The sequence below is a fragment of the Homo sapiens genome, chromosome 9, assembly GCF_000001405.40.
Source record: "Homo sapiens chromosome 9, GRCh38.p14 Primary Assembly".
Lineage (NCBI taxonomy): Eukaryota > Metazoa > Chordata > Mammalia > Primates > Hominidae > Homo > Homo sapiens.
The window spans coordinates 19,265,245-19,290,958 of NC_000009.12; the positions used below are offsets into that span (position 1 = coordinate 19,265,245).

At 39.1% G+C, this 25,714-nt stretch overlaps 1 protein-coding gene across 39 annotated transcripts in view; it reads left to right on the forward strand.

Moving 5' to 3' along the window:
- DENND4C (DENN domain containing 4C) overlaps window positions 1-25,714 on the forward strand; it is a 143,769-nt gene that overhangs the window by 34,732 nt on the left and 83,323 nt on the right. For 29 of the 39 annotated variants that reach the window (NR_169842.1, NR_169845.1, NR_169843.1 and 26 more), the window contains exons 2-5: window positions 10,914-11,235; window positions 21,525-21,777; window positions 23,352-23,421; window positions 25,460-25,632. Coding sequence is in view for 21 of the 39 variants with exons in the window: in NM_001386047.1 (NP_001372976.1) it covers window positions 10,931-11,235; window positions 21,525-21,777; window positions 23,352-23,421; window positions 25,460-25,632 (801 nt within the window). In the remaining 18 variants the exon portion in view is untranslated. Of the gene's footprint in view, window positions 1-10,913; window positions 11,236-21,524; window positions 21,778-23,351; window positions 23,422-23,846; window positions 24,047-25,459; window positions 25,633-25,714 lie in introns of all 39 variants that reach the window. The other 10 variants (NR_169852.1, NR_169854.1, NR_169850.1 and 7 more) reach the window with 5 other exon arrangements.

A 25,714-nucleotide genomic window follows, 5' to 3' on the forward strand; every position in this document is an offset into this window, starting at 1 on the left:
GGGCTCAAGCAGTCTGTCCCCCTTGCTCTCCCAAAATGCTGGGATTACAGGTGTAAGCCACTGTGCTCGGCCAATTTTTTAAATTTTCCTTCTGAATCTCTTCATTGACCCAGTGGTCATTTAGGAACATATTCTTTAATTTCCATGTGTTTACGTAGTTCCCAAAGTTCCTCTTGTTACTGATTTCTTTTTTATTTTTATTTATTTATTTATTTATTTTTTATTATACTTTAAGTTCTAGGGTACATGTGCACAACATGCAGGTTTGTTACATATGTATACATGTGCCATGTTGGTGTGCTGTACCCATTAACTCATCATTTACATTAGGTATATCTCCTAATGCTATCCACCCCTCCTCCCCCTACCCCACGACAGGCCCCGGTGTGTGATGTTCCCCACCCTGTGTCCAAGTGTTCTTATTGTTCAATTCCCACCTATAAGTGAGAACATGCGGTGTTTGGTTTTCTGTCCTTGCGATAGTTTGTTCAGAATGATGGTTTCCAGCTTCATCCATGTCACTACAAAGGACAAGAACTCAACCTTTTTTATGGCTGCATAGTATTCCATGGTGTATATGTGCCACATTTTCTTAATCCAGTCTATCATTGTTGGACATTTGGGTTGGTTCCAAGTCTTTACTATTGTGAATAGTGCCACAGTAAACATATGTGTGCATGTGTGTCTTTATAGCAGCATGATTTTTAATCCTTTGGGTATATACCCAGTAATGGGATGGCTGGGTCAAATGGTATTTCTAGTTCTAGATCCTTGAGGAATCGCCACACTGTCTTCCACAATGGTTGAACTAGTTTACAGTCCCACCAACAGTGTAAAAGTGTTCCTATTTCTCCACATCCTCTCCAGCACCTGTAGTTTCCTGACTTTTTAATGATCGTCATTCTAACTGGTGTGAGATGGTATCCCATTGTGGTTTTGATTTGCATTTCTCTGATGGCCAGTGATGATGAGCATTTTTTCATGTGTCTGTTGGCTGCATAAATATATCTTCTTTTGAGAGGTATTTGTTCATATCCTTCACCCACTTTTTGATGGGGTGGTTTGATTTTTTCTTGTAAATTTGTTTAAGTTCTTTGTAGATTCTGGATATTAGCCCTTTGTCAGATGGGTAGATTGTAAAAATTTTCTCCTGTTCTATAGGTTGCCTGTTCAATCTGATGGTAGTTTCTTTTGCTATGGAGAAGCTCTTTAGTTGAATTAGATCCCATTTGTCAATTTTGGCTTTTGTTGCAAAAAACAGGCTGCATTGCCAAGACAATCCTAAGCCAAAAGAACAAAGCTGGAGGCATCATGCTACGTGACTTCAAACTATACTACAAGGCTACAGTAACCAAAACAGCATGGTACTGGTACCAAAACAGAGATATAGACCAATGGAACAGAACAGAGCCCTCAGAAATAATACCACACATCTACAACCATCTGATCTTTGACAAACCTGACAAAAACAAAAAATGGGGAAAGGATTCCTTATTTAATAAATGGTGCTGGGAAAACTGGCTAGCCGTATGTAGAGGGCTGAAACTGGATCCCTTCCTTACACCTTATACAAAAATTAATTCAAGATGGATTAAAGACTTAAATGTTAGACCTAAAACCATGAAAACCCTAGAAGAAAACCTAGGCAGTACCATTCAGGACATAGGTATGGGCAAGGACTTCATGACTAAAACTGATTTCTTTTTTATCACATCGTGGTCAGAGACCTATTTGACGTACTTTCAGTTTTGTTTTTTTTAATTTTAAGACTTTTTGTGGCCTAATAGATGCTCTGTTCTTGAGGATGTTATATATGCTGAGGAGAAGAATGTGTATATTCTGCAGCCGTTAGATGAAATGTTCTGTAAGTATCTGTTTGGTCCATTTAGTCTATAGTGCAGATTCAGTCAAATGTTTCTTAGTTTTATGTCTGGAAGATCTGTCCAGTGCTGAAAGTGGGATGTTGAAGTTTCCAGCAATTACTGTGTTGGAGTCCATCTCTCTTTAGCTCTAATAATGTTTACTTTATATATCTGGGTGCTCCAGTGTTGGGTGCATGTGTATTTATAAATGTTACATCCTCTTGCTGAATTGACACCCTTATTATATAATGACCTTCTTTGTCTCTTTTTATGGTTTTTATCTTAAAATCTGTTTTATCTGATACAAGTATACCTACTCCTGCTCTTTCAGTTTCCATTTGCCTGGAATATCTTTTTTGACCCCTTTATTTTTAGTCTGTGTGTATCTTTATAGGTGAAGTGTGTTTCTTTTTTAAAAAATTTTACTTAAAGTTTTTTTGTTTTTTTAGAGACCGGTTCTCACTTTATCCCCCAGGCTGGAGTGCAGTGGTGTGATCACGGATTACTGTGACCTGAAACTCCTGAGCTCAGGGGATCTTCCCACCTCAGCTTCCCAAGTAGCTAGGACTACAGGCACATGACACTGCACCTGGCCAATTTTTCTTTATTTTTTATGGAGACAGGGTCTCACCATCTTGCCCAGGCTAGTCTCAAATTCCTGGGGTCTAGCAATCCTCCTGCATCAGCCTCCTAAAGTGCTGAGATTGTAGGCATGAACCACTGTGCCCAGCCTGTTTCTTGTAGGCCGCAGATGGTCGGACTGTGCTTGTTTAAATCCGTTCAGCCTCTGTATGTCTTTTGATTGGAGAATTTAGTCTGTTTACATTCAATGTCATTATTGATAAGGACTTTCTACTACCATTTTGTTATTTGTTTTCTGGTCTTCTTTTCCTTCCTTCCTTCCCATCTTCCTTTATGGGAAAGTGATTATTTTCTGGTGGTATGTTTTAATGTCTTGCCTTTTATGTTTTGTGTATGTGTTGTAGGTTTTTGGGTATTTTTTTTTTTTCCCGTACAGAGTCTTATTCTGTCGCCCATGCTGGAGTGCAGTGGCATAATCTCAGCTCACTGTAGCCTCGACCTCTCCGGCTTAAGCCATCCCTGCACCTCAGCCTCCTGAGTAGCTGGGACCCCAGGTGTGCACCACTATACCTGGCGAATTTTTGTATTTTTTGTAGAGACGGGGTTTTGCCATGTTGTCCAGGCTGGTATTGAACGCCTGAGCTCAAGCCATCTGCCTACCCCCACCTCCCAGAGTTCTGGGAATACAGGCGTGAGCCACCGCACCTGGTTGTAGTTATTATTTTTGATAGGTTCATCTTTTATTCTTTCTGTTTGAGATATGAGTAGTTTACACACCAGAATTACGGTGTTAATATTCTCTATATGTTTGTCTATGTATTTGCTATTACCAGGGAGTTTTGTATCTTCAGGTAATTTCTCATTGCTCATTACTGTTCTTTTCTTTCAGATTGAAGAACTCCCTTTAGTATTTCCTGTAGGACAGGTCTGGTGTTGACGAAATCCCTCAGCTTTTGTTTGTTTGGGAAAGTCTTTATTTCTCCTTCATGTTTGAAGGATATTTTCAGTGGATATACTGAAAATACAGGATAAAAGTTTTGTTTTTTTTTCAGTACTTTAAATATGTCATACACTCTCTCCTAGCCTGTAAAGTTTCTACTGAGAAGTGTGCTGCCAGACACATTAGAGCTCCTTTGTATGCTATGTGTTTTTCTTTTGCTGCTTTTAGAATCCTTTCTTCATTCTTGACCTTTGGGAGTTTGACAATTAAATGTCTGGAGGTAGTTTTGAGTTAAATTTCCTTGCTGTTCCATAACCTTCTTGTACTTGAATATTGATATCTTTCTCTATGTTTGGGAAGTTCTCTGTAGTATATCTCTTTGAATAAACTTGGTACATACTTCTCTCTACCTTTTTGTTAAGGCCCATAACTCTTAGATTTTCCCTTTTGAGGCTATTTTCTAGATTTTGTAGGTGTGCTTCATTCTTTTTTATTCTTTACTATTTTGTCTCCTCTGACTGTATTTCCTTTCTTTCTTTCTTTTTTGTTTTGAGATGGAGTTTCGCTTTTGTTGCTGAGGCTGGAGTGCAATGGCGTGATCTTAGCTCACTGCAACCTCTGCTTCCGGGTTCAAGCAATTCCCCTGCCTCGCCTCCCGAGTAGCTGGAATTACAGGTGCCCGCTACCATGCCCGGCTAATTTGTATTTTTAGTAGAGACAGGGTTTCACCACGTTGGCCAGGCTGGTCTCGAACTCCTGACCTCGGGTGATCTGCCCGTCTCGGCCTCCCAAAATGCTGGGATTACAGGCCTGAGCCACCGTGTCCGGCCCCTTGACTGTGTTTTCAAATAGTGTGTCTTCAAGCTCATGATTTCTTTATTCTGCTAAATCAATTCTGCTGTTGAAAGACTCTGATTCATTCTTGTTTATCAGTTGAATTTTTCAGCTCCAGAATTTCTGCTGGATTTTAAACAATTATTTCAATCTCTTTTTAAAATTCATCTGATAGGATTCTGAATTCCTTCTCTGTATTATCTTGAATTTCATTGAGCTTCTTTAAAACAGCTATTTTGACTTTGTCTGTCTGAAAGGTCACACATGTCTGTCATTCCAGGATTGGTCACTGGTGCCTCATTTAGTTTGTTTGGTGAGGTCATGTTTTCCTGTATGGTCTTGATGCTTGTGGATGTTTGTTGATGTCTGGGCATTGAAGAGTTAGGTATTTATGGTAGTCTTCACAGTCTGGGCTTGTTTGTACCCATCCTTCTAGAAAAAGCTTTCCAAGTATTCAAAGGTAATTGATTGTTTTGATCTAAGTCCTTGGTCTCTATAGCCGTATCTACATTAGGGAGCACCTTAAGCCCAGTAATGCTGTGACTCTTGTAGACTTATAGCTGTATGGCCTTAGTGGTCTTGGGTAATAGCCAGTATTCCCTGGATTACCAGGCACAGTCTCTTGTTCTCTTTCCTTATTTTCCCCCAAACAAATGGCATCGCTCTCCATGCTGAGCTACCTGGAGTTGAGGGGAGGAGTGACACAAGCACCCCTGCAACCACCACCACTGGGACTGTGCTGGGTTAGACCTGAAACCAGCACAGTACTGAGTCTCATCAGTACAGTAATATTGCCTGGCTACCACTGATGTTTATTCAAGGCCCAAGGGCTCTTTATTCAGCGGGTTGTGAATCTAGCCAGGCTTGTGTTTTTCCCTTCAGGGTGGAGGGTTCCCTTTTGGCCTAGGATGGGTCTAGAAATGCTGTCCAGAAGCTAGGGCCTCTAGCCTCTGGAGTTGGGAACTTTAGGAATCTACTTGGTGCTTTATTTTACTGTGGATGAGCTCATACCCAAGTTGCAAGACAAAGCAGGGTTTTTCTATTTTGTAACATAGGTTGGCATTACATTCTTTTTGAAGGGTGAATAATACTCCATTGTAGGTTTATATCACATTTTTAAAAATCCATTCATCTCTTGATGGTTACTTGGGTTGTTTTCACCTTTTGGCTATTGTGAATAGTGCTTCTGTGACCAGTGATGAACATATTTGTCTATTGGTCATTTGGGTATCTTTGGTTACCATTTATCTTAACAGTGTACCGGATGTTCTAGCCAGTGCAATAAGGCAAGAAAAAGAAAAAAAAGGCAGCTACAATGGAAAGAAAGAAGTAAAAATTGTCTTTATTCACACATACATTATGTGGAAAGTCTGATAGAATCTACAAAATTGCTCTAAACTAATAAGTGATTTTAGCAGGATTGCATTATATGAGATCAATATGTAAAAATCAATTGTATTTCTATATAGTAGCAATGAATAATTGAATTAAAAATAAAATGATGCCATTCACAGTAGCATCTAAATTATTAAGTACTTAGGAATAAATCTGACCAAAGATGTGGAAGACCTGTATGTTGCAAACTCAGAAACATCGCTGAAAAAAATTTAAAAGATCTAAGTAAATGCAGAGATTAACCTTGTTCATGGATTAGAAGACTCAATAACCCTAATTATTTAATGCAGTCCTAATTAAAATCACAGTAGGCTTTTTTTTTAGGTAAAAATTAATATGGATTCTTTTTTTTTTTTTTTTTTGAGACAGTCTTGCTCTGCCACCCAGGTTGGAATGCAGTGGCGCAATCCTGGCTCACTGCAATCTCTGCCTCACTAATTCAAGTGATTCTCATGCCTCAGCGTCCCGAGTAGCTGGGATTACAGATGTATTCCACCATGCCCCACTAATGTTTTGTATTTTTAGTAAAGACTGGGTTTGTCTATGTTGGCCAGGCTGTTCTTGAACTCCTGGCCTCAAGTGATCCGCCTACCTCTGGCCTTCCAGATTGCTGGAATTACAGGTGTGAGCTACCGCCTCTGGCCAGTAAGTGGATTCTAAATTGCTTATTGAAATGCAAAGGACCTAGTATAGTCAAAAAACAGTTTTGAAAAAGAACAGCAGTGAGGCCCAGTGAGGTGGCTCACGCCTGTAATCCCAGCACTTTGGGAGGCTGAGGCGGGCGGATCACCTGAGGTGGTTGAGTTAAAGACCAGCCTGACCAACATGGAGAAACCCCGTCTCTACTAAAAATACAAAATTAGCTGGAGTGGTGGTGCATGCCTGTAATCCCAGCTACTCGGGAGGCTGAGGCAGGAGAATCGCTTGAACCTGGGAGGCGAACGAAGGTTGCGTTGAGTTGAGATCGCGCCATTGCACTCCAGCCTGGGCAAAAAGAGTGAAACTCTGTCTCAAAAAAAAAAAAAAAAAGAGAAAAGAAAACAGAGAAACAACAGCTTTCAAAGCTAAGGCTGCCTGATTTCAGGACTAATTATAAAGCTACAGTAATCAGAACCATGTAGTACTGGCATATAGACACATAGATCAATGGAACAGAATAAAGAATCCAGAAATAAATTGGATGCACATGTTGAGCAATTGACTTTTGAACAAAGGTATGAAATCATTACAGTGGAGAAAGGATAGTATTTTTTTTTTCTTTTTAAATAAAAGAGAGACTGGCCCAGGCATGGTGGCTCATGCCTATAATCCCAGCACTTTGGGAGGCCAAGGTGGGCGGATCACCTGAGGTCGAGAGTTTGAGACCAGCCTGGCCAACATGGGGAAAGCCTGGTCTCTACAAAAAATACAAAATTAGCCAGGCGTGGTGGGACATGCCTGTAATCCCAGCTACTCAGGAGGCTGAGGCAGGAGAATCACTTGAACCTGGGAGGCAGAGGTTGCAGTGAGCCGAGATTGCGCCATTGCACTCCCGCCTGGGCAACAAGAACGAAACTCCATCTCAAAAAACAAAAACAAAAACAAAAAACAAAAAAATGTTTCCCAGGCTGGTCTTGAACTACTGGACTTAAGCAATCCTCCCTCCCACCTCGGCCTCCCAAAGTGCTGGGATTAGAGACATGAGCCAATGTGCCTGGCCAGAATAGTTTTTTCAACGCAGGGTCCTTGAAAAATGGGATATCCATATGTAAAAAAATGAATCTTCATTTATACCTCACGCCATATGCAAAAATCAGTTTAAAATGTATCGTAGACCTAAATGTAAAACCTAAAATTATAAAACATTTAGAAGAAAATGTGGGGGAAATGTTTTCTTTATGACATTGGATTAGACATGTTTTTTTATTTTTATTTTTATTTTGTTTTTTGAGATGGAGTCTTGCTCTCTCGCCCAGGTTGGAGCACAGTGGCGTGATCTTGGCTCACTGCAGCCTCTGCCTCCCGGGTTCAAGTGATTCTCCTGTCTCAGCCTCCTGAGTAGCTGGGATTTCAGGCACATGCCACTACGCCTGGCTAATTTTTGTATCCTTTTTTTTTTTTTTTTTTTTTGAGATGGAGTCTCGCTCTGTCACCCAGGCTGGAGTGCAGTGGCGCGATCTTGGCTCACTGCAAGCTCCACCTCCCGGGTTCACGCCATTCTCCTGCCTCAGCCTCCAAAGTAGCTGGGACTACAGGCACCCGCCGCCACCATGCCAGGCTAATTTTGTTGTATTTTTAGTAGAGACAGAGTTTCACTAGGTTAGCCAGATGGTCTCAATCTCCTGACCTCGTGATCCACCTGCCTCGGCCTCCCAAAGTGCTGGTATTACAGGCGTGAGCCACTGCGCCTGGCAATTTTTGTATTTTTTAGTAGAGATGGGGTTTCACCATGTTGGCCAGGCTGGTCTGGAACTCCTGACCTCAGGTGATCCACCCACCTTGGCCTCCCAAAGTGCAGGAATTATAGGTGTAAGCCACCACGCTTGGCTGACATGATTTCTTACGACATCGCAAGCATGATCTGTAAGAGAATAGGTTAATAAATTGGAGTTCATCAAAAACCTCTGTTTTTCATAAGACCCTGTAAGAGAATAAAAACACAAGCCGCAGACTGGGAGAAAATATTTGCAAAGCATATGTCTGATAGATGACTTGTCTCAAGAATACATAAAGAACTCAAAACTCATGAGAAAACAACTCAGTTAAAAAAAATGGACAAAAGATTTGAACAGAAATTTCCCCAAAGAAGATATATGGATGGAAAATAAATCAATGAAAAGATGTTCAGCATCAATAGTAATTGCAAATTAAAACCAGAAGTTGATATCAGTACATACTGATTAGAATGTCTAAATTAAAAAGACTGATCTTACAACGTGTTGAAGAGGATGTAGAACAATTGGAACTCTCAAAGCTGACAAGAGTGAAAAAAATGGTACACTCCCTTTAGAAAACTATTAGGTAGTTTTTTAGAACTATATACACCTAATCCAGCCATCCTGTTTTAGGAATTTACCCAAGACAAATGAAAGCATTATGTCCATAAGATTTGTACATGGGTATTCACAGCAGCTTTATCTGTGATAGTTTCACACGGGAAATAACCTAAATGTCCATTAATATAGGTGAATGGATAAACATTGTGGTATATTCATTCAGTAGAATACCACTCAGTAATAAAAGGGAATGAACTGTTGATACAAGCAACAACATGGATTTATCACAAAATAATTATGATGAGTAAAGAAGCCAGAGAAAAAAGAATACATACTGTATGAGTCTACTTATTATATAAATTCTAGAAACTTATCTATAATGATAGGAAGCTGATAACTTGTTGCCTGAGGAGGAGAAATAATGAGGGAGGAACAAGAAAATTTTGATGTTGATGGATATGTTTCTTTCTTTTTTTTTTTGAGATGGAATTTTGCTCTTGTTGCCCAGGCTGGAGTGCAATGGTGCGATCTCGGCTCACCGCAACCTCCGCCTACCGGGTTCAAGCGATTCTCCTGCCTCAGACTCCTGAGTAGCTGGGATTACAGGCATGCGCCACCGCACCCAGCTAATTTTGTATATTTAGTAGAGATGGGATTTCTCCATGTTGATCAGGCTGGTCTCAAACTCCCAACCTCAGGTGTTGCACCCTCCTCGGCCTTCCAAAGTGCTGGGATTACAGGCGTGAGCCACCGTGCCCGGCCTGGATATGTTTCACTATCTTGATTGTGGTAATGGTTTTATTGGTTGTTGTTTCTTATGCTCTATCTGGTATTTTTAGATATAAAAGATTTAATGATTCCTGAGCTTACTTATTTTACATGGTATTTATGGAAAGTTTAATTCTTATAAAGCACAAGAGTTCTAACTGGATTGTTGAGAAACTGCTTTAATGATATTTATTACTGTTACCTTAATTTTTCTGATCTTGGATCTTGACTGATGATGCACTCAATTTATTTAAATGTGGAGTTTAGCTCTAAGACTCCTGTAACTTAAAAGAGAATGATATTTTGAATGATCTGAATATTGTTCATTAAGTACATTTTGCTCAAAGGAAAATACCGTAGTCCACCTCTGACAGTTTAGTATTATTATTTTTTTGAGATGGAGTCTTGCTCTGTTGTCCAGGCTGGAGTGCAGTGGCACGATCCTGGCTCACTGCAAACCTCTGCCCCCCAGGTTCAAGCGATTCTCCTGCCTCAGCCTCCCGAGTAGCTGGGATTACAGGTGCCCACCACCACACCTGGCTAATTTTTGTATTTTTAGTAGAGACAGGGTTTCACCATGTTAGCCAGGCTGGTGTCAAATTCCTGACCTCAAGTGATCCACCCGCCTCGGCCTCCCAAAGTGCAGGGATTACAGGTGTGAGCCACCAGGCCCGGCCTTTTTTTTTTTTTTCTTTCTCTTTTTTTTTTTTGAGACAGAGTCTCACTCTGTCTTCCAGGCTGGAGTGCAGTGGCGCAATTTGGGCTCACTGAAACCTCCGCCTTCCGGGGTCGAGCGATTCTCATGCCCCAGCCTCCCGAGTAGCTGGGACTGACAGGCGCACACCACCACGCCTGGCTAATGTTTATTTTCATTTTTATTTATTTTTTGAGATGGAGTTTCTCTCTTTCACCCAGGCTGAGGTGAAGTGGAGCAATCTCCGCTCACTGCAGCTTCTGCCCCCTGGGTTCAAGCGATTCTCCTGCCTCAGCCTCCCGGGTAGCTGGGATTATAGGCGCCCCCCACCAGGCTCAGCTAAATTTTTGTATTTTTGTAGAGATGGGGTTTTGCCGTGGTGGCTAGGCTGTTCTCGAGCTCCTGACCTCAGGTGATCCACCCACCTCCACCTCCCATAGTGCTAAGATTACAGGTGTGAGCCACCATGCCCAGCCTAATATTTATATTTTTAGTAGAGACAGGGTTTCACCAGGTTGGGCACACTGGTCGCGAACTTAAGACCTCAGGTGATCCACTTGCCTTGGCCCCCCAAAGTGCTAGGATTACAGGCATGAGCCATCGCGCCCGGCCCCAGTTTAATTATCCTTAATAGAATATGAGAAGATTATAGTTGTATTACAGATGAATTGATGCTGTTAACTTGTACTTTTGCTTTTACCAACTGACAAGATGATAAAAGCAGGCTTCTTCTCAGAATGGCAATTTGATTATAAATCTAGCTGGGAAGTGTGCTAGTTGATGATTGTTAACTCAAGGATATATTAATTTTTGTCAGGATAAAGTATTTTATTTTATTGGTATCTTTCCCCTCCCTCTTCTAGAAAATACAGTAGCAGCCATGATAGAAGACAAAGGACCAAGAGTGACAGACTACTTTGTCGTAGCTGGTCTCACTGACACATCTACTCTTTTGGATCAAGAAATAAATCGTTTAGATACTAAGTCAACTGGACCTAAAGCTCCAATTACAGACATTGCCATTATTATCAAATCAGCTGGAGAAACAGTACCTGAAGGTTACACCTGTGTAGAAGCCACTCCATCAGCTCTCCAAGCAAACTTGAACTATGGAAGTCTGAAAAGCCCAGAACTTTTCCTCTGTTATAAGAGAGGGAGAGATAAACCACCGCTTACAGATATTGGGTATGGTGACTTCTTTTCTTTGCTATAGTGAAGGAGTAAAATTTATTTAAGGGCCATGGAAGTAGGAATTTGAAATCCTTGATAGTTTTATTATTACTGATAGTTTATTATTATTGATAGTTTTATGGTTACTTCAGGATTCATTATAGTAATATATTACATGCCAGTATCCACCCTTACTGAATTTCTTTGCATTGCCTTGAATTGTTAGATCATTTGCTTTCAAAAGAATATTGAAATGAAGACATTTGACCCTAAAGTGTCATTTTGTTTCTGTTGTACTTATCAAATAAGATTATTAATTAAACACAATAGAATGAGAAGCTATAATAAAGACACTATCATTTTAAGGAGTTGCTTGGGTTATGTAATGAGTTTTTGTGAAGACCTGTACTTGTTTAACTAAAGAGCAGTCCTATTTTAAATACAGTTGTAACGTGTGGCTTTCAATGCTGGGAGGAGGGTGTTTACAGATAAGTGCTACAGTTTTCATGAAGTATCTAGTATCTAGTCTACCAGTGAAGGACATTCTTTTTTGTAAATGCCTACAAAGGTCCACCCTTTCCCCAAATGGCTACCTTGACTCTTCTGTAAAAAGGATGTGCTTTTAGAATACCTATAACACTTTACCATATATACATGTGATGTATTGGGGTGTTTTGTTTATTATCATTACCATTACTAAAATATAGATATTTGGGAACATCCTGGCAAGTATTTTAGGATCAGCTTATCTATTTATACAAAATGTGTAGTAGGAATTTTGATAGAGATTACATTAACTTTAGATTAATCTGCAGAGTATTGTCATCTTTACAATATTAAACGATTCAGCTTGTGAACGTGGAATGTTTTCCATTGGTTTAGGTCTTCTTTAATTTCTTTCAGCAACATTGTGTATTTTTTAAATCTGATTAATTTTATTTCTAGGTATTTTATTCTTTTGGATTCTATTATAAATAGTGTTGTTTTCTTAATTTTTGGATTGTTTGTTGCTGGTGTATAGAAATAGCTGATTTTTGTGTGCTAATCTTGCACTCTGCAACTTTGCCGAATTTATTAGTTCTAATAACTTGTGGGTTCTTCGGGATTTTTTTAAATATATAGGATCATGTCATCTGCAAATAGAAATAGTTTTACTCCTTCCTTTGCAGTTTGGATGCTTTGTGTGTGTGTGTGTGTGTGTAATTACTCTGGCTAGAACTTTTAGTATGTTGAATAGCAGTGGTGAAAGCAGGCATCTTGTCTCATTCCTGATTTTAGGTGGAAAGCTTTCAGTCTTTTACTATTGAGTATGATGTTAACTGTAAATATTCCTTAAATACCATTTATCATGTTGAGGAAATGTTCTTCTATTCCTAGTTTTCTGAGAGATTTTATCAGGAAAGTGTGTTAAATTTTGTCAGATGCCTTTTGTCAATTGAGATGATCATGTATTTTTTCTTCCTTTGTTCTCTTAGTGTCATGTATTACATTGATTTTCTTTTGTTGAATCTTTCTTTTAATATAACTATGATACCATACCTTAAAAAATGATTAATTCCTTAATATTATCACATATCCAAATTTTTCTAATTCATGAAGCCTTTTTTTTCTTTTTTTTTTTTTTTTGAACACTTGGTTGCTGGTTGTTCTCTTTTTGTTGTTGTGGTTGTTTTTTGTTTGTTTGTTTTTGAGACAGAGTCTGGCTTCGTTGCCCAGGCTGGAGTGCAGTGGCGCAATCTTGGCTCACTGCAACCTCCGCCTCCCGGGTTCAAGTGATTCTCCTGCCTCAGCCTCTTGAGTAGCTAGGATTACAGGCGTGCACCACTATGCCTGGCTAATTTTTGTATTTTTAGTAGCAGAGACAGGGTTTCACCATATTGGCAAAGCTGGTCTTGAACTCCTGACCTTAGGGGATCTGCCTCCCAAAGTGCTGGGGTTACAAGCGTGAGTTACCACACCTGGCCACTGATTGTTCTCTTTATAGTTGTTCAGGTATTAAGGGGTAGCCATTTGACCACCACTTGTTACGCTCATCACCCACTCTTGTTGCATTAGAGCTCTGGCGAAATTGTTATAAAGATCCTCATACTCCATGGAAGTCGGAATCCACGAAGGAGTGTGTAACAACTCAGGCTGAAAAAGAGAAAAAAGTTTAAAAAGTCCTCATTTTCAAATTTTTAAAACCAAAGGATGATTTGTCTTTATCTTACTTGACCTTTATGCAGCATTCGTTTAACTCCTTTAGTATTGTCCATCCTATTTAGCTACTGTAGTTTTCCTTCAAGTCAGTATAGTTAGGATGGTGATCTTTCAGCTTTATAGGGTCATTGAGCATATGAGCCAGGTTAGAAAGACAGGGTTCAGAAATGACTGGGAATTGGATTAATAAAGGCCCCCTCCACTCTGCCCCCCCAGAAGCTTGACTTTAAGGGAAGGGGAAGATAGTTAAGGGCCTAACTATTCAAATTGTAGCCCATGGACCAGTATTGTCCAAAAGACCTGGAAGCTTGTTAGAAACTCAGAAACTTAGGCACTATTCCAGACCTACTGAATCACAATCTGTATTCTGGTCCAGTGTGGTGGCTTACACTGTAATCCCAGCTAACCTGTAATCCCAGCACTTTGGGAGGCCGAGGCAAGCGGATCACAAGGTCAAGGGATCAAGACCATCCTGGCCAACATGATGAAACCCCATCTCTACTAAAAATACAAAAATTAGCTGGGTGTGGCAGTGTGCGCCTGTAGTCCCAGCTACTCAGGAGGCTGAGGCAGGAGAATCACTTGAACCCGGGAGGCGGAGGTTGCAGTGAACCAAGATCACACCACTGCACTCCAGCCTCCCTAATCCCAACGCTTTGGGAGGCTGAGGTGGGAGGAGGATTGCTTGAGGCCAGGAGTTCACAAAAAATAAAAATAAAAATGAGCAAGGGCCCGGTGTGGTGGTTCACGCCTGTAATCCCAGCACTTTGGGAGGCGGAGGCAAGCCGATCACTTGTGGTCAGGAGTTCAAGACCAGCCTGTCCAACATGGTGAAACCCCCTCTTTACTAAAAAAATACAAAAATTAGTTGGGCATGGTGGCGAGCACCTGTAGTTCCTGCTACTTGGGAGGCTGAGGCAGGAGAATCACTTGAACCCAGGAGGTGGAGGTTGCAGTGAGCCAAGATTGTGCCACTGGGCTCCAGTCTGGGCAACAGAGTGAAACTCCTTCTCAAGACAAAAAAAAAAAAAAAATTAGCAAGGTGTGGTGGCATGCACATGTAGTCCTAGCTACTCAGAAGGCTGAGGTGGGAGGATCACTGGAGCCCAGGAGTGGCTCCGATTGTGCCACTGTAGCACTCCAGCGTGGGCAACAGAGCAAAAGACCCTGCCTCAGAAGAAAAAAAAATCTATTTTTAACAAAATTCCCAGAAACAATGGTTTAAAATACCTAGAGGGTGAAGATATATGAATTCAAGGGTTGTTTTTTAACCTTCCTCTCAGGGAATAACCTAGAACATTTTCATATTGAAGGAAGAAATCAGTGGAGAAGGAAGGGTAGGAAATATAGGAAAAAGATATTTTATAGAATAAAATTATTGAAGGGATGATGTTAACAGCATAGGTGACTGGATTAGCTTTTATTTGAAGGGGCCGGCCTGCCTGCTTGCCTTCCTGCCTTCCTGCCTACCTGCCTGCCTTCCTCCCTTCCTCCCTTCCTTTTTTTTTGGACAGAGTCTCGCTCTGTCCAGGCTGGAGTGCAGTGGTGCGATCTCGGCTCACTGCAACCTCCACCTCGGGTTCAAGCAATTCTCTGCCTCAGCCTCCCAAGTAGCTGGGATTACAGGCACCCACCACCACGCCCAGCTAACTTTTGTATTTTTAGTAGAGACGGGGTTTCACCATGTTGGCCAGGCTGGTCTTGAACTCCTGACCTCGTGATCCACCTGCCTCTGCCTCCCAAAGTGTTGAGGTTACAGGCATGAGCCCCTGTGCCCCGCCGGAAGGGGCTTTTCCTTTGAGAAGAAGAAAGTAAGTTAAAATGGGTGTAAACACAGAGTATTGGTTGCAGTGGAGTGACATTAATGGTTTTATTGTTCTGTTTTTTTTTCTCTATGGTTTCCTTAAGAAGATAGGTAATATATATCCCTAAGGATGTAGGATAAAATTGTGGTAACCTCCATGTTAGTTGAAGGGAAACCAGCCAGGTACTTATTTTGTGTTCCAGCATTCACTGTTCCCTCTTTTAGGCATCTTTTTTTTTTAATTAAAAAAATTGTTTTTTTTAATATATAAAAATAAGGAGAATTTTTTTGAGACAGTGTCTCACTGTGGTTGCTCAGGCTGCAGTGCAATGGTGTGATCACAGCTTACTGCAGCCTCCGCCTTCTGGGCTCAGGTGGTCCTCCCACCTCAGCCTCCCGAGTAGCTGGGACTACAGGCAAGCACCACCATACCCGGCTAAGTTTTTGTAGTTTTTGTAGAGGTGGGGTTTCTCATGTTGCCCAGGCTAGTCTTGAGCTCCTGGACTCAAGCAATCTGCTCACCTCGGCCTCCCGAAGTGCTGGGATTACAGGAGTGAGCCACTGTGCCGGGCCAGTCGTCTTTTAGAGTCCATCTTTTGACAAGCCCACCTGCCACCCCTCCCATACAGTCATGACTGAAAGATGTGAATCTCTGCAAAATTGTTGTTGCTTGTGATACAACTTAAAAATAAAATGATGACTTACGTAATTATATGTAGGTGCTTTCAGATTGCAAGTGGCTTTTTCATACACATCTTGCAGTTCCTAAGGCTTCTAATTTTTGTTATGGTAGTTTATTGATACAGATTTGCTAGAGTGTATGGTTGTCCTTAAGCTAATCATGATGGTTAATATTTCTCTCCAGATCAAATAATTGTTAATGTCTGGTGACTTAAATGTTTTGGCCTGTTCTCCTCACTTTCCCCCCACTCTTTCCTCACTCTAGTGTGAAGGGGTTTGGAAAACCTATTAGCTTCTGTATTTATAGTAGGAAAGCCTATTAGCTACTGGAAATACAGACACCCATCTCATTAAGTTTAATATGAAACACTGTTGCTAAACTTTTGTCTTTTTTACTGTTTTATAAACTGAGATGAGGTATTTATAAAAATAGTACTTTTCTCTAGAAAAGATGTTAAGTTAAAATATGTAAAATCTGATATTCCCATAGAAATACCGTATATACTATAAAGTACAATCATGTATCACTTAACGATGGGAATACATTCTGAGAAATGTGTTCTATGGCGATTTTGTCATTGTGTGAACATCATAGAGTGTACATACACAAACCTAGGTGGCATAGCTTACTACATATACAACTATAGCCTATTTTTCTTAGGCTGCAAACCTGTACAGCATGTTACTGGGGTAATAGATACTGTAGGCAACTTACACAGTGGTGAGTATATGTATATCTAAACATAGAAAAGGTACAGAAAAATCTGGCATAAAAAATAAGTCACACCTGTATAGGGCACTTACCATGAATGGACCTTGCAGGACTGGAAGTTGCTCTAGGTGAGTCAGTGAGTGAGTGTTGAGTGAATATGAAGGCCTAGGACATTACTGTATACTACTATAGACTTTAGTAAATTAACTTTAGCTTTATTATAGCCTTTTTACTTTATAAACTTTTAAAGTTTTTGTTAATTTTTTTGATTCTTTTGTAATAATACTTAGTTTAAAACACTTACCATACAGCTGTACAAAAATATTTTTCTTTCTTTAAATCCTTATTTTATTAAGTTTTTTTGTATTTTAAAATTTTATTTTAAAAATTTATTCTTTTATTTTTTATTTTTTGAGACAGGGTCTCACTTTGTTGCCCAGGCTGGAGTGTAGTGGTATAGTCTAGGCTCACTGCAGCCTCCACCTCCTGGGCTCAGGCGATAATCCTTTCACCTCAGCTTCCTGAGTAGCTGAACTACAAGTGTATGCCACCACTCCTGGCTAATTTTCTTTTTGTAGAGATGGGGTTTCGCCTTGTTGCCCAGGCTGCTCTGGAACACCTGAGCTCAAGTGATCTGCTTGCCTTGGCCTCCCAAAGTGCTGGGATTACAGGCATGTGCCACCACGCCTGGCAAAAATTAAAAAAAAAAAAAAAATAATGGGGTCTTGCCTTGTTGCCCAGGCTGGCATTGCACTCCTAGGCTCAAGTGATCCAGCCTCAGCCTGCTGAATAGCTGGCACTAGCTTGGTTTTTAAACTTTATTTTTTGTTTTTCTTTTTCTTTTTTTCTTCTCTCTTTTTTTTTTTTTTTTTTTGAGACAGAGTCTCACTCTGTCTTCCAGGCTGGAGTGCAGTGGTATGATTGGGGCTCACTACAATCTCTGCTTCCTGGGTTCAGGTGATTCTCCTGCCTCAGCCTCTGGAGTAGCTGCGATTACAGGCATCTGCCACCACACCTGGCTAATTTTTTTTTATTTTCAGTAGAGACAGGGTTTCACCATATTGGCCAGGCTGGTTTTGAACTCCTGACCTCAAGTGATCCACCCATCTTGACCTCCCAAAGTGCTGGAATTACAGGCGTGAGCCACCGCCTCTGACCAGTTTTTATTTTCTTATTTTGAAATTTTTTGCAAAGATGAGGTCCTCCTATGTTGCCCAGGCTGTTCTTGAACTCCTGGCCTCAAGCAATTCTGCATTGGCCCCTTAAAGTGCTGGGATTATAGATATGAACTACTGTGCCTGGATTTTTTTTTTTAACTGTTTAAACTATTTTGTTAAAATTTAAGACAAAAAGACACATGTTAGCCTAGCCCTACAGAGTCAGGATCATCACTATCTCTGCCTTCCATCGCCACATCTTGTCCCACTGGAAGGTCTTCAGGGCAGTAACCCACATAGAGCTGTCTTCTATGATAAGAATGCCTTCTGGAATACCTCCTGAAGGACCTGCCTGAGACTGTTTTACAGTTAACTTTTTTTGTAAGTAGGAATATACTCTAAAGTAATGATAAAAGGTATAGTATTGTAAATACTAGGTGATAAGAATTTCTCAGCTCCATTATAATCTATGGCACCACCATAGTATATGCAGTCTGTGCTTGCATCATCATTATGTGGTGCATGATTGTATAGTATAATTTAAACAGGGCAGTATGTTATCTTATATATCAGATGCATTTCTTTTTTCTTTCTTTTTTTTTTTTTTTTTTGAGACAGAGTTTCGTTCTTGTTGCTCAGGCCAGAGTGCAATGACCCGATCTTGGCTCACTGCAACTCCGCGCCCCCTCACCCCCACCCCCGCCAGTAGCTGGGACTACAGGCACCTGCCACCATGCCAGGCTAATTTTTTATTTTTAGTAGAGACGGTGTTTTTCCATGTTGGTCAGGCTGGTTGCGAACTCCCAACCTCAGGTGATCCGCCCACTTCTGTCTCCCAAAGTGCTGGGATTATAGGCGTGAGCCACTGCGCCCGCCCAGATGCATTTCTTGAGACACAGAATCATAGACCATACGAAGTTCTTATTTTCTTCCCTTTGTCAGATTCATTGGCTTTCAACTGATTTGTTTCTCCAGTTCTTTTGTTTTTTGAGAAATTTCAAACATGTGAAAAGTTGATAAACTATTATAATACACAAGTATCCTTTTCTCCTAGATGATAGACTGTAGAATAATGAACAATATACTTGTCACCTACAAATTGACATTTTTTTTCATTTGTTTGCTAAGCTAATTGAAAGGAAGTGGGAGCCAGTGTGCCTAGCCTATTTCTTTCTCTTAAACAAAATGTAGATACTCTATACCCTATTTTGTACTTTGCCTTTTTCACCTAAGAGTATATACTGGCAATCACTCTGTATCTGAATATAAGATCTTCCTCATTTTTTGTGTGTGACTGTATAATACTTATTTGTGTGGATGTATTTACTTTATTCAATGAAACCTCTACTGATGGACATTTGGATTGTTCTCAGTTTTGTGCTATTAAAAGAATGCTTTGATGAATAACTGTGCATTTATTGTTATGTATTTGTGGAGGTGTGTTTTCAGGTAGATCCTAGAAAAAATTGCTGGATTAAAAGATAAATGTGTAAATAATTTTGTTAAATGTTACTAAATTTTTCTCTATAGTGTTTGTGCCATTTTATATTCTGCCATATATGTGTTTTTTTAATCCACATCCCATCAACAAAGTATGTGGTCTGACATATTTTTTGTCAATCTCACAGAGATTAATGGTGTATCAGAGTAATTTCATTGAGGTTAATCATTGCTCCATAAGTTTAAGGGGCGATTTTCTTTATTCTTTTGCTTATACTATAAACAGATTTTTAATCTTTACCTTGATTTTTTTAAAGGAAATTTTTTATGTGTTAGGAAGATGAGCTTTTTGTGAAATAAGTTGCCAAGTATTTTCTTCAGTCAACTTGTCTTTTATCTTGGCTTATGGTGTTCGTTGTCATGTAACGTTTATTTTATGTAGTTTATTTTTCTACTCCCATATTTTATTGGTACTGGATTTTGAGTCATAGTCTTTTCCCACTGCTAGATATACTTTTAGCACTAGTATGATTTAATTCCTTATGTTTAGATCTGTGATCCACCGGGGGATCCCCTTCTGGTGTGTAGTGTGAAGTATAGACAGAATTTTATTTTTTTCCAAATAATATTTTTTTCCAAATAACAATCCAGTTATCTAAGTCCTGCTTATTACATTTAAAAATCCATTCTTCCCTTAGTATATTGAGAAATTACCTTCATGATAGACTAGATTTTTCTTCTGTTTCATTGTCTTTCTGTTCACTTCCTTGCTAATACTCTCCTGATTTAAATAAAGAGGCTTTATAGTACATTTTAATATTAGTTGGGTTTTAACAGCTTTATGGAGATACAATTCACATGTCATACAGTTCACTTACTTAAAGTGTACAATTCAATGGTTTTTAGTATTGTTTACAGTGTTGTGCAGCTACCACCACAATTAATTTTAGAACATTTTCATCAGCCTAAAAAGAAACCCCATACCCATTAGCAGTTGCTATTTAGTATTCTTTCCCACCTTCTACCCCTAGGTAACTATTAATCTACTTTCTGTCTGTATGGATTTGCCTATTCTGGACATTTCTTAAAAACTGAATCACTGTATGTGGTCTTTGTGACTTTTTTTTTTTTTTTCACTTAACATGTTTAGCTGCTTGTGCTTTTGGTGTCATATCTAAGAAGGCTTTGTCTAACCTAAGGTCACAAAGATTTATTTCTGTTTTTCAAAGAGTGCTATAGTTCTTACATTGATTTTGATCCATTTTTAGTTTTTTGATGAGTAGTATAAGGAAGGGGTCCAGCTTCATGCTTTTGCAGGTGGATATCCAGTTATTCCAACACTACATATTGAAAAGACTATTCCTTCCTGATTGCATTGTCTTGGCACTCTTGTTGAAATCAATTGACTGCAAATATAAGGGCTTAATTTTGGACACTCCATTTTATTCTGTTGATCTATATGTTTATTCTTATGCCAATACATTGCACTGATTACTGTAGATGTGTGGTAGTTTTGAAGTAGGGAAGTGTGAGTCCTCCAACTTTCTTCTTTTTCCAGATTGCTTTGACAAGAAAAAACAAAAGCAGCTGGGGTTTAAATAGGAATTGCATTGAATTTATTGATCTATTTGAGGGTATTGCCAAAGGCAGCTGGAATTTAGATAGGAATTGCATTGACTTTATTAATCTATTTGGGGGTATTGCCATCTTATCAATTTTCATTAATTCATTTTTCAGTTTTCATTAATCAAATTGAAGATTGAATTAATCAGATTAATTCAATTTTCATTAATCTATTTGAGGGTATTGCCATCATTGTCTTTTTGTCCATAAGCATGAGATGTCTTATTTATTCAGCTCTTTAATTTCTTTAAATAACGTTTTATAGTTTTCAGAGGATTTTTAAAGCTAAAAAATTGACAAATTATGAAGCGAATTTTTATGAAAACATCTGAATACTTGGTGAAACTTCTAGGAATTGACCTGAAGATGTTTGTGGTGTTGCCCCTTTCTTTTTTCATATGTTTCTTATAATAAGCAATACAAAATCAAGTTGTTCAATCCTGTTTACACTTCTTAAATTATGTTTTGGCTTTTGAAAAATAGTTTAGAGACTTGTAGTTCCCAAAGGAATAATTTTAATTTTGGTTTCTAGTGAAGATTTGGGAAACAATAGGAGAGACCAAAAAAATTTTCTTTGATTTCAAGAAGAAAACCAGCATTAACCTGAAATGCATGTACTATATATATGTACATATGTATGTGTGTATGTATATATCTATATCTATTTCTTCCCCTTCCTGCCATGCAGAGTTCTATATGAAGGGAAAGAACGGCTTATTCCAGGATGTGAAGTGATCCTAGCCACACCCTATGGTCGCTGTGCCAATGTCAACAATAGTTCAACTACTTCACAAAGAATCTTTATCACTTATCGAAGGGCTCCTCCAGTTCGACCCCAGAATTCCTTGGCTGTAACTGATATCTGTGTTATTGTAACCAGTAAAGGAGAAACTCCTCCTCATACCTTCTGCAAAGTTGACAAAAACTTAAATTGTGGAATGGTAAGAATAAAGTTTTCATCTTCAAAGTTTCATATGAAACCAAAAAGGGATACGTTTTGGATTCCTGTTTACTGTTGGGTATATACTCACATTTTATATTTTCATGATGCTTGTTTTTATTTTTCCTAATTTTTATGATTTGTAATAATTTTTAAAGTCCTATCCCATGATTTATAATAATTTCATCTTTAAGTCAGGGATATTTTTGAGGGAGTAAATCCTAATATTGTCTGTGTTACATTAACAAAGGTTTTATTCACTTTTGGATTTCAGTGGTGTCTTCAGGGACAACTGTGGGGTTAGAGTGGGTAGAAGCTCTCCTTACATTCATTTATTCATTCATTCATTCATTTGTTTGCTTTTTTTATTTTTTTGAGACAGGGTCTTGCTTTGTCGCCCAGGCTGGAGTACAGTGGTGCAATCACAGCTCACTGCAGCCTTGACCCCCCACCAGGCTCAAGTGATCTTCCCACCTTAGCCTCCCGAGTAGCTGGGACTACAGGATAGTAGAGACAGGGTTTCATCATGTTGGCCAGGCTGGTCTTGAACTCTTGACCTTAAGTGATCCACCTCCCTTGGCCTCCCAAAGTGTTGGAATTACAGGCGTGAGCCACCATGCCCGGCCTGTTTTTGTTTTTGAGACAGGGTCTCCTTAAGTTGCCCAGGATGCTCCTGAACTCTAGGGCTCAAGAGAAAATATTGCAGTTTTGCATACTTATTTTTTTTTTTCAGACGGAGTCTCGCTCTGTCGCCCAGGCTGGAGTGCAGTGGCGTGATCTTGGCTCACTGCAACCTCCACCTCCCAGGTTCAAGCGATTCTCCTGTCTCAGCCTCCCAGGTAGCTGGGGCTACGGGCGTGCGCCACTACGCCCACCTAATTTTGTATGTTTAGTAGAGATGAGGTTTCACCATGTTGGTTGGCCAGGATGGTCTTGATCTCTTGACCTTGTGATCCACCTGCCTCAGCTTCCCAAAGTGCTGGGATTACAGGCGCAAGCCACCACACCCAATCCATGCATACTTACTCTTTAAAAGGACTGTAGTGAAGAAGAAAATGAACATAAATGTTTGATTCATAGTTTTTAAAGACTACAGCTTACTTTTGGTTCAGATTTACTTTGAAAAATATCTTCAGGTCAAACTAATATTAGCTTAATGTTGTATAGGCGGAGATGACAAATGCACCCAGAACAATTAGTGAAGACAGGGTTGCCTCTGGAGGTGATGACCTCATAGTCCTCCAGTGACCCAAGTCTTCCCCAATTTGGGCTCCAGTGCACACTCCGTTTTGTGCTGTGTCTTACAAGAAGGGGCAATCTCTGAGTGATTGTGAAATTCTAAATCTTTTGAAATGGCCTTCATATCAGTTTGATTTTTGTAGCATTGTTTTCTTACTCTCTTATTTTAGTGTTCTGAACTTCATGCTTTGCTGTATTTTATACTGCATAGTTCATTATATAAACGTTTTAAATAGACTCTTCTGAGTAAATAAATGAATCTTTAGTTGGTATCCAACAAAATCAATTTCTTTTCACTCTTTTGTCTTTTTTATAAACCTAATTCATGTTTTACAGTGGGGTTCCAGCGTGTTTCTGTGTTATAAGAAGTCTGTACCTGCTTCAAATGCAATAGCATATAAGGCTGGTAAGTGAGTTAAAAAAAATTGTCTCAATTGCTATAGTTATTGGTGCATATTAACATTTGGCTAAAAGAGATAAAGTATGCTCCCTTACATAGTTTGTAGAATTGATCTATTCATAAAATTATCTATAATTTTAGCATATAAAGATATGTGTTTTCTTAAATACATATACAAGATATATTAATACCCCCACCAAACATGCTGTTAATTTAATTTAAACATTTATCTAAAGCAAACATATGTGGAATAAACATTCAAGCTTTTGGTCTACGTTAATAGACTTAACAGTATAATGGAAAGTTGCTGACTCTCTGACCTTTTATATTTTGGCAATCAGAAAGGTGTCAAACTGCGTCTTTACTTCTTATATTTCCTTCTCTTATCTCTTTGTGTCTGATTTGAAACCACATGTTACTTGCCATGAAAGGTGGACTTGCTTCCTTTCTCCTTTGTTGCAAAGAATCAGCTATATGGAGGAGAGGAGGGCCTGAGAAACTTTTCTGCCATGAAGTGTTTGAGAAATCTATCGCCACATTCTTACTGCACATTAAAGTGTCAAGGGCTGTAAAGATTTAAGTGTCACGTCTTCATTCCACTGGTATGGTGGGATAAAAACTGAAAATACAGGTATGCTCCAGTTGTAAATAGAAAAGATACTGGAATACTTCTTTGTGAAAAGAAGCAGTGCTAATTACTATTTGATTATGCACAGTTCTTGAAATAAAGTTTTACTTCAGGGAAGTCAGGCAAATTCATATCCAAAAAATCGTGATTTTCATAAAAACATTCATACTAATGAACCAAACCATTTAATTTATAATATAAAAATAATGGCAACGACTAACGTATAAAATTCAGTATCATTTTAAAATCTGATACTGTAGGCTGGGCATGGTGGCTCACGCCTGTAATTCCAGCACTTTGGGAGAGTGAGGCGGGCAGATCGCTTGAGGCCAGGAGTTTGAGACCAGCCTGGCCAACATGGTGAAACCCCGTCTCTACTAAAAATACAAAAATTAGCCAGGCGTGGTGGCACGCATCTGTAGTCCCAGCTACTTGGGAGGCTGAGGCACGAGAATCGCTTGAACCCAGGAGGCGGAGGTTGCAGTGAGCCGAGATCACACCACTGCACTCCAGCCTGGGTGACAAAGCAAGATCCTGTCTCAAAAAAAAAAAAAAAAAGTGATACTGTTAATACTGCTGTAATATGTTGATTATGTGTGATGTCCTTTTTTTGTTGTTGTTGTTGTTTTTGGTGGAGAAAAGATATCACTTAAAAAACTTATAGAAAGAAACTGTACCAAAGTATTCAGTTATTTGATATGAGACACTTATTTTAGAATAGAGAGTTTTAGATACTGAATTTGGGCTCAAAATTCTACTACTGATTTTGAAGTTTTTCACTTAGAGATGGTCTATATATTGATGACCTTAGAGGCTAATGAACAGATGCCATGTAGCTAATTTATTCTGTGGGTCTTCATTGTGGTTCTCAAAGTGTCACTTGCTCCTACTTTCTGGGTCTCACATACTCTGTACTTAGTCACAGTGTTTCTGTCTCATTTACTTTTCATGTTGCATGCCTTTTACACTGCTTCCCTCTTAAGATGAGTTTAGGGGCTGTGATAATTTCTGTTGCCTCAGCATTATTTCATAACACTTGTCTCTTCCCTGAATTTTTCACAGAAGACTAACTGAAATAGTTGGTAAATTTTTCTGTATGTTTCTTACCATTTTCCACAAGGTGTTGGCATGTGTAGAAGAAAATACATTAAGATTGGTGATCAAGATTGGTTGAATGGAATCTCAACTAGTATATTAATACATTTTAAATGTTACAATGAACTGTAAATTCATGGGTAAAATATCAGGGGTAAACTTATTTTAGTTTCTGTTATAGCAAGGGGGAAATCAATTTTAAAATACCACACAAGTATTGCCATGAAATTCGGCATTAAAATATTCCATTAATACCTATCATATGCAATTTATGGAAAAGTAACTATTTAAAAAATTTATTGTTGTCTCATTCTTCAAAAGGTTTAATTTTTAGATATCCAGAAGAGGACTATGAGTCATTTCCACTCTCAGAATCAGATGTACCTCTTTTCTGCCTTCCTATGGGAGCTACTATTGAGTGCTGGGATCCTGAAACCAAATATCCACTTCCAGTTTTTTCAACTTTTGTCTTGACAGGTTCTTCAGCCAAAAAGGTATGTTTTTGTCTCATTGATTAAACACATTTTGTCCATGTTTTTATTTCATAAAAAGGTTAATACAAGTTTTATTTGAATG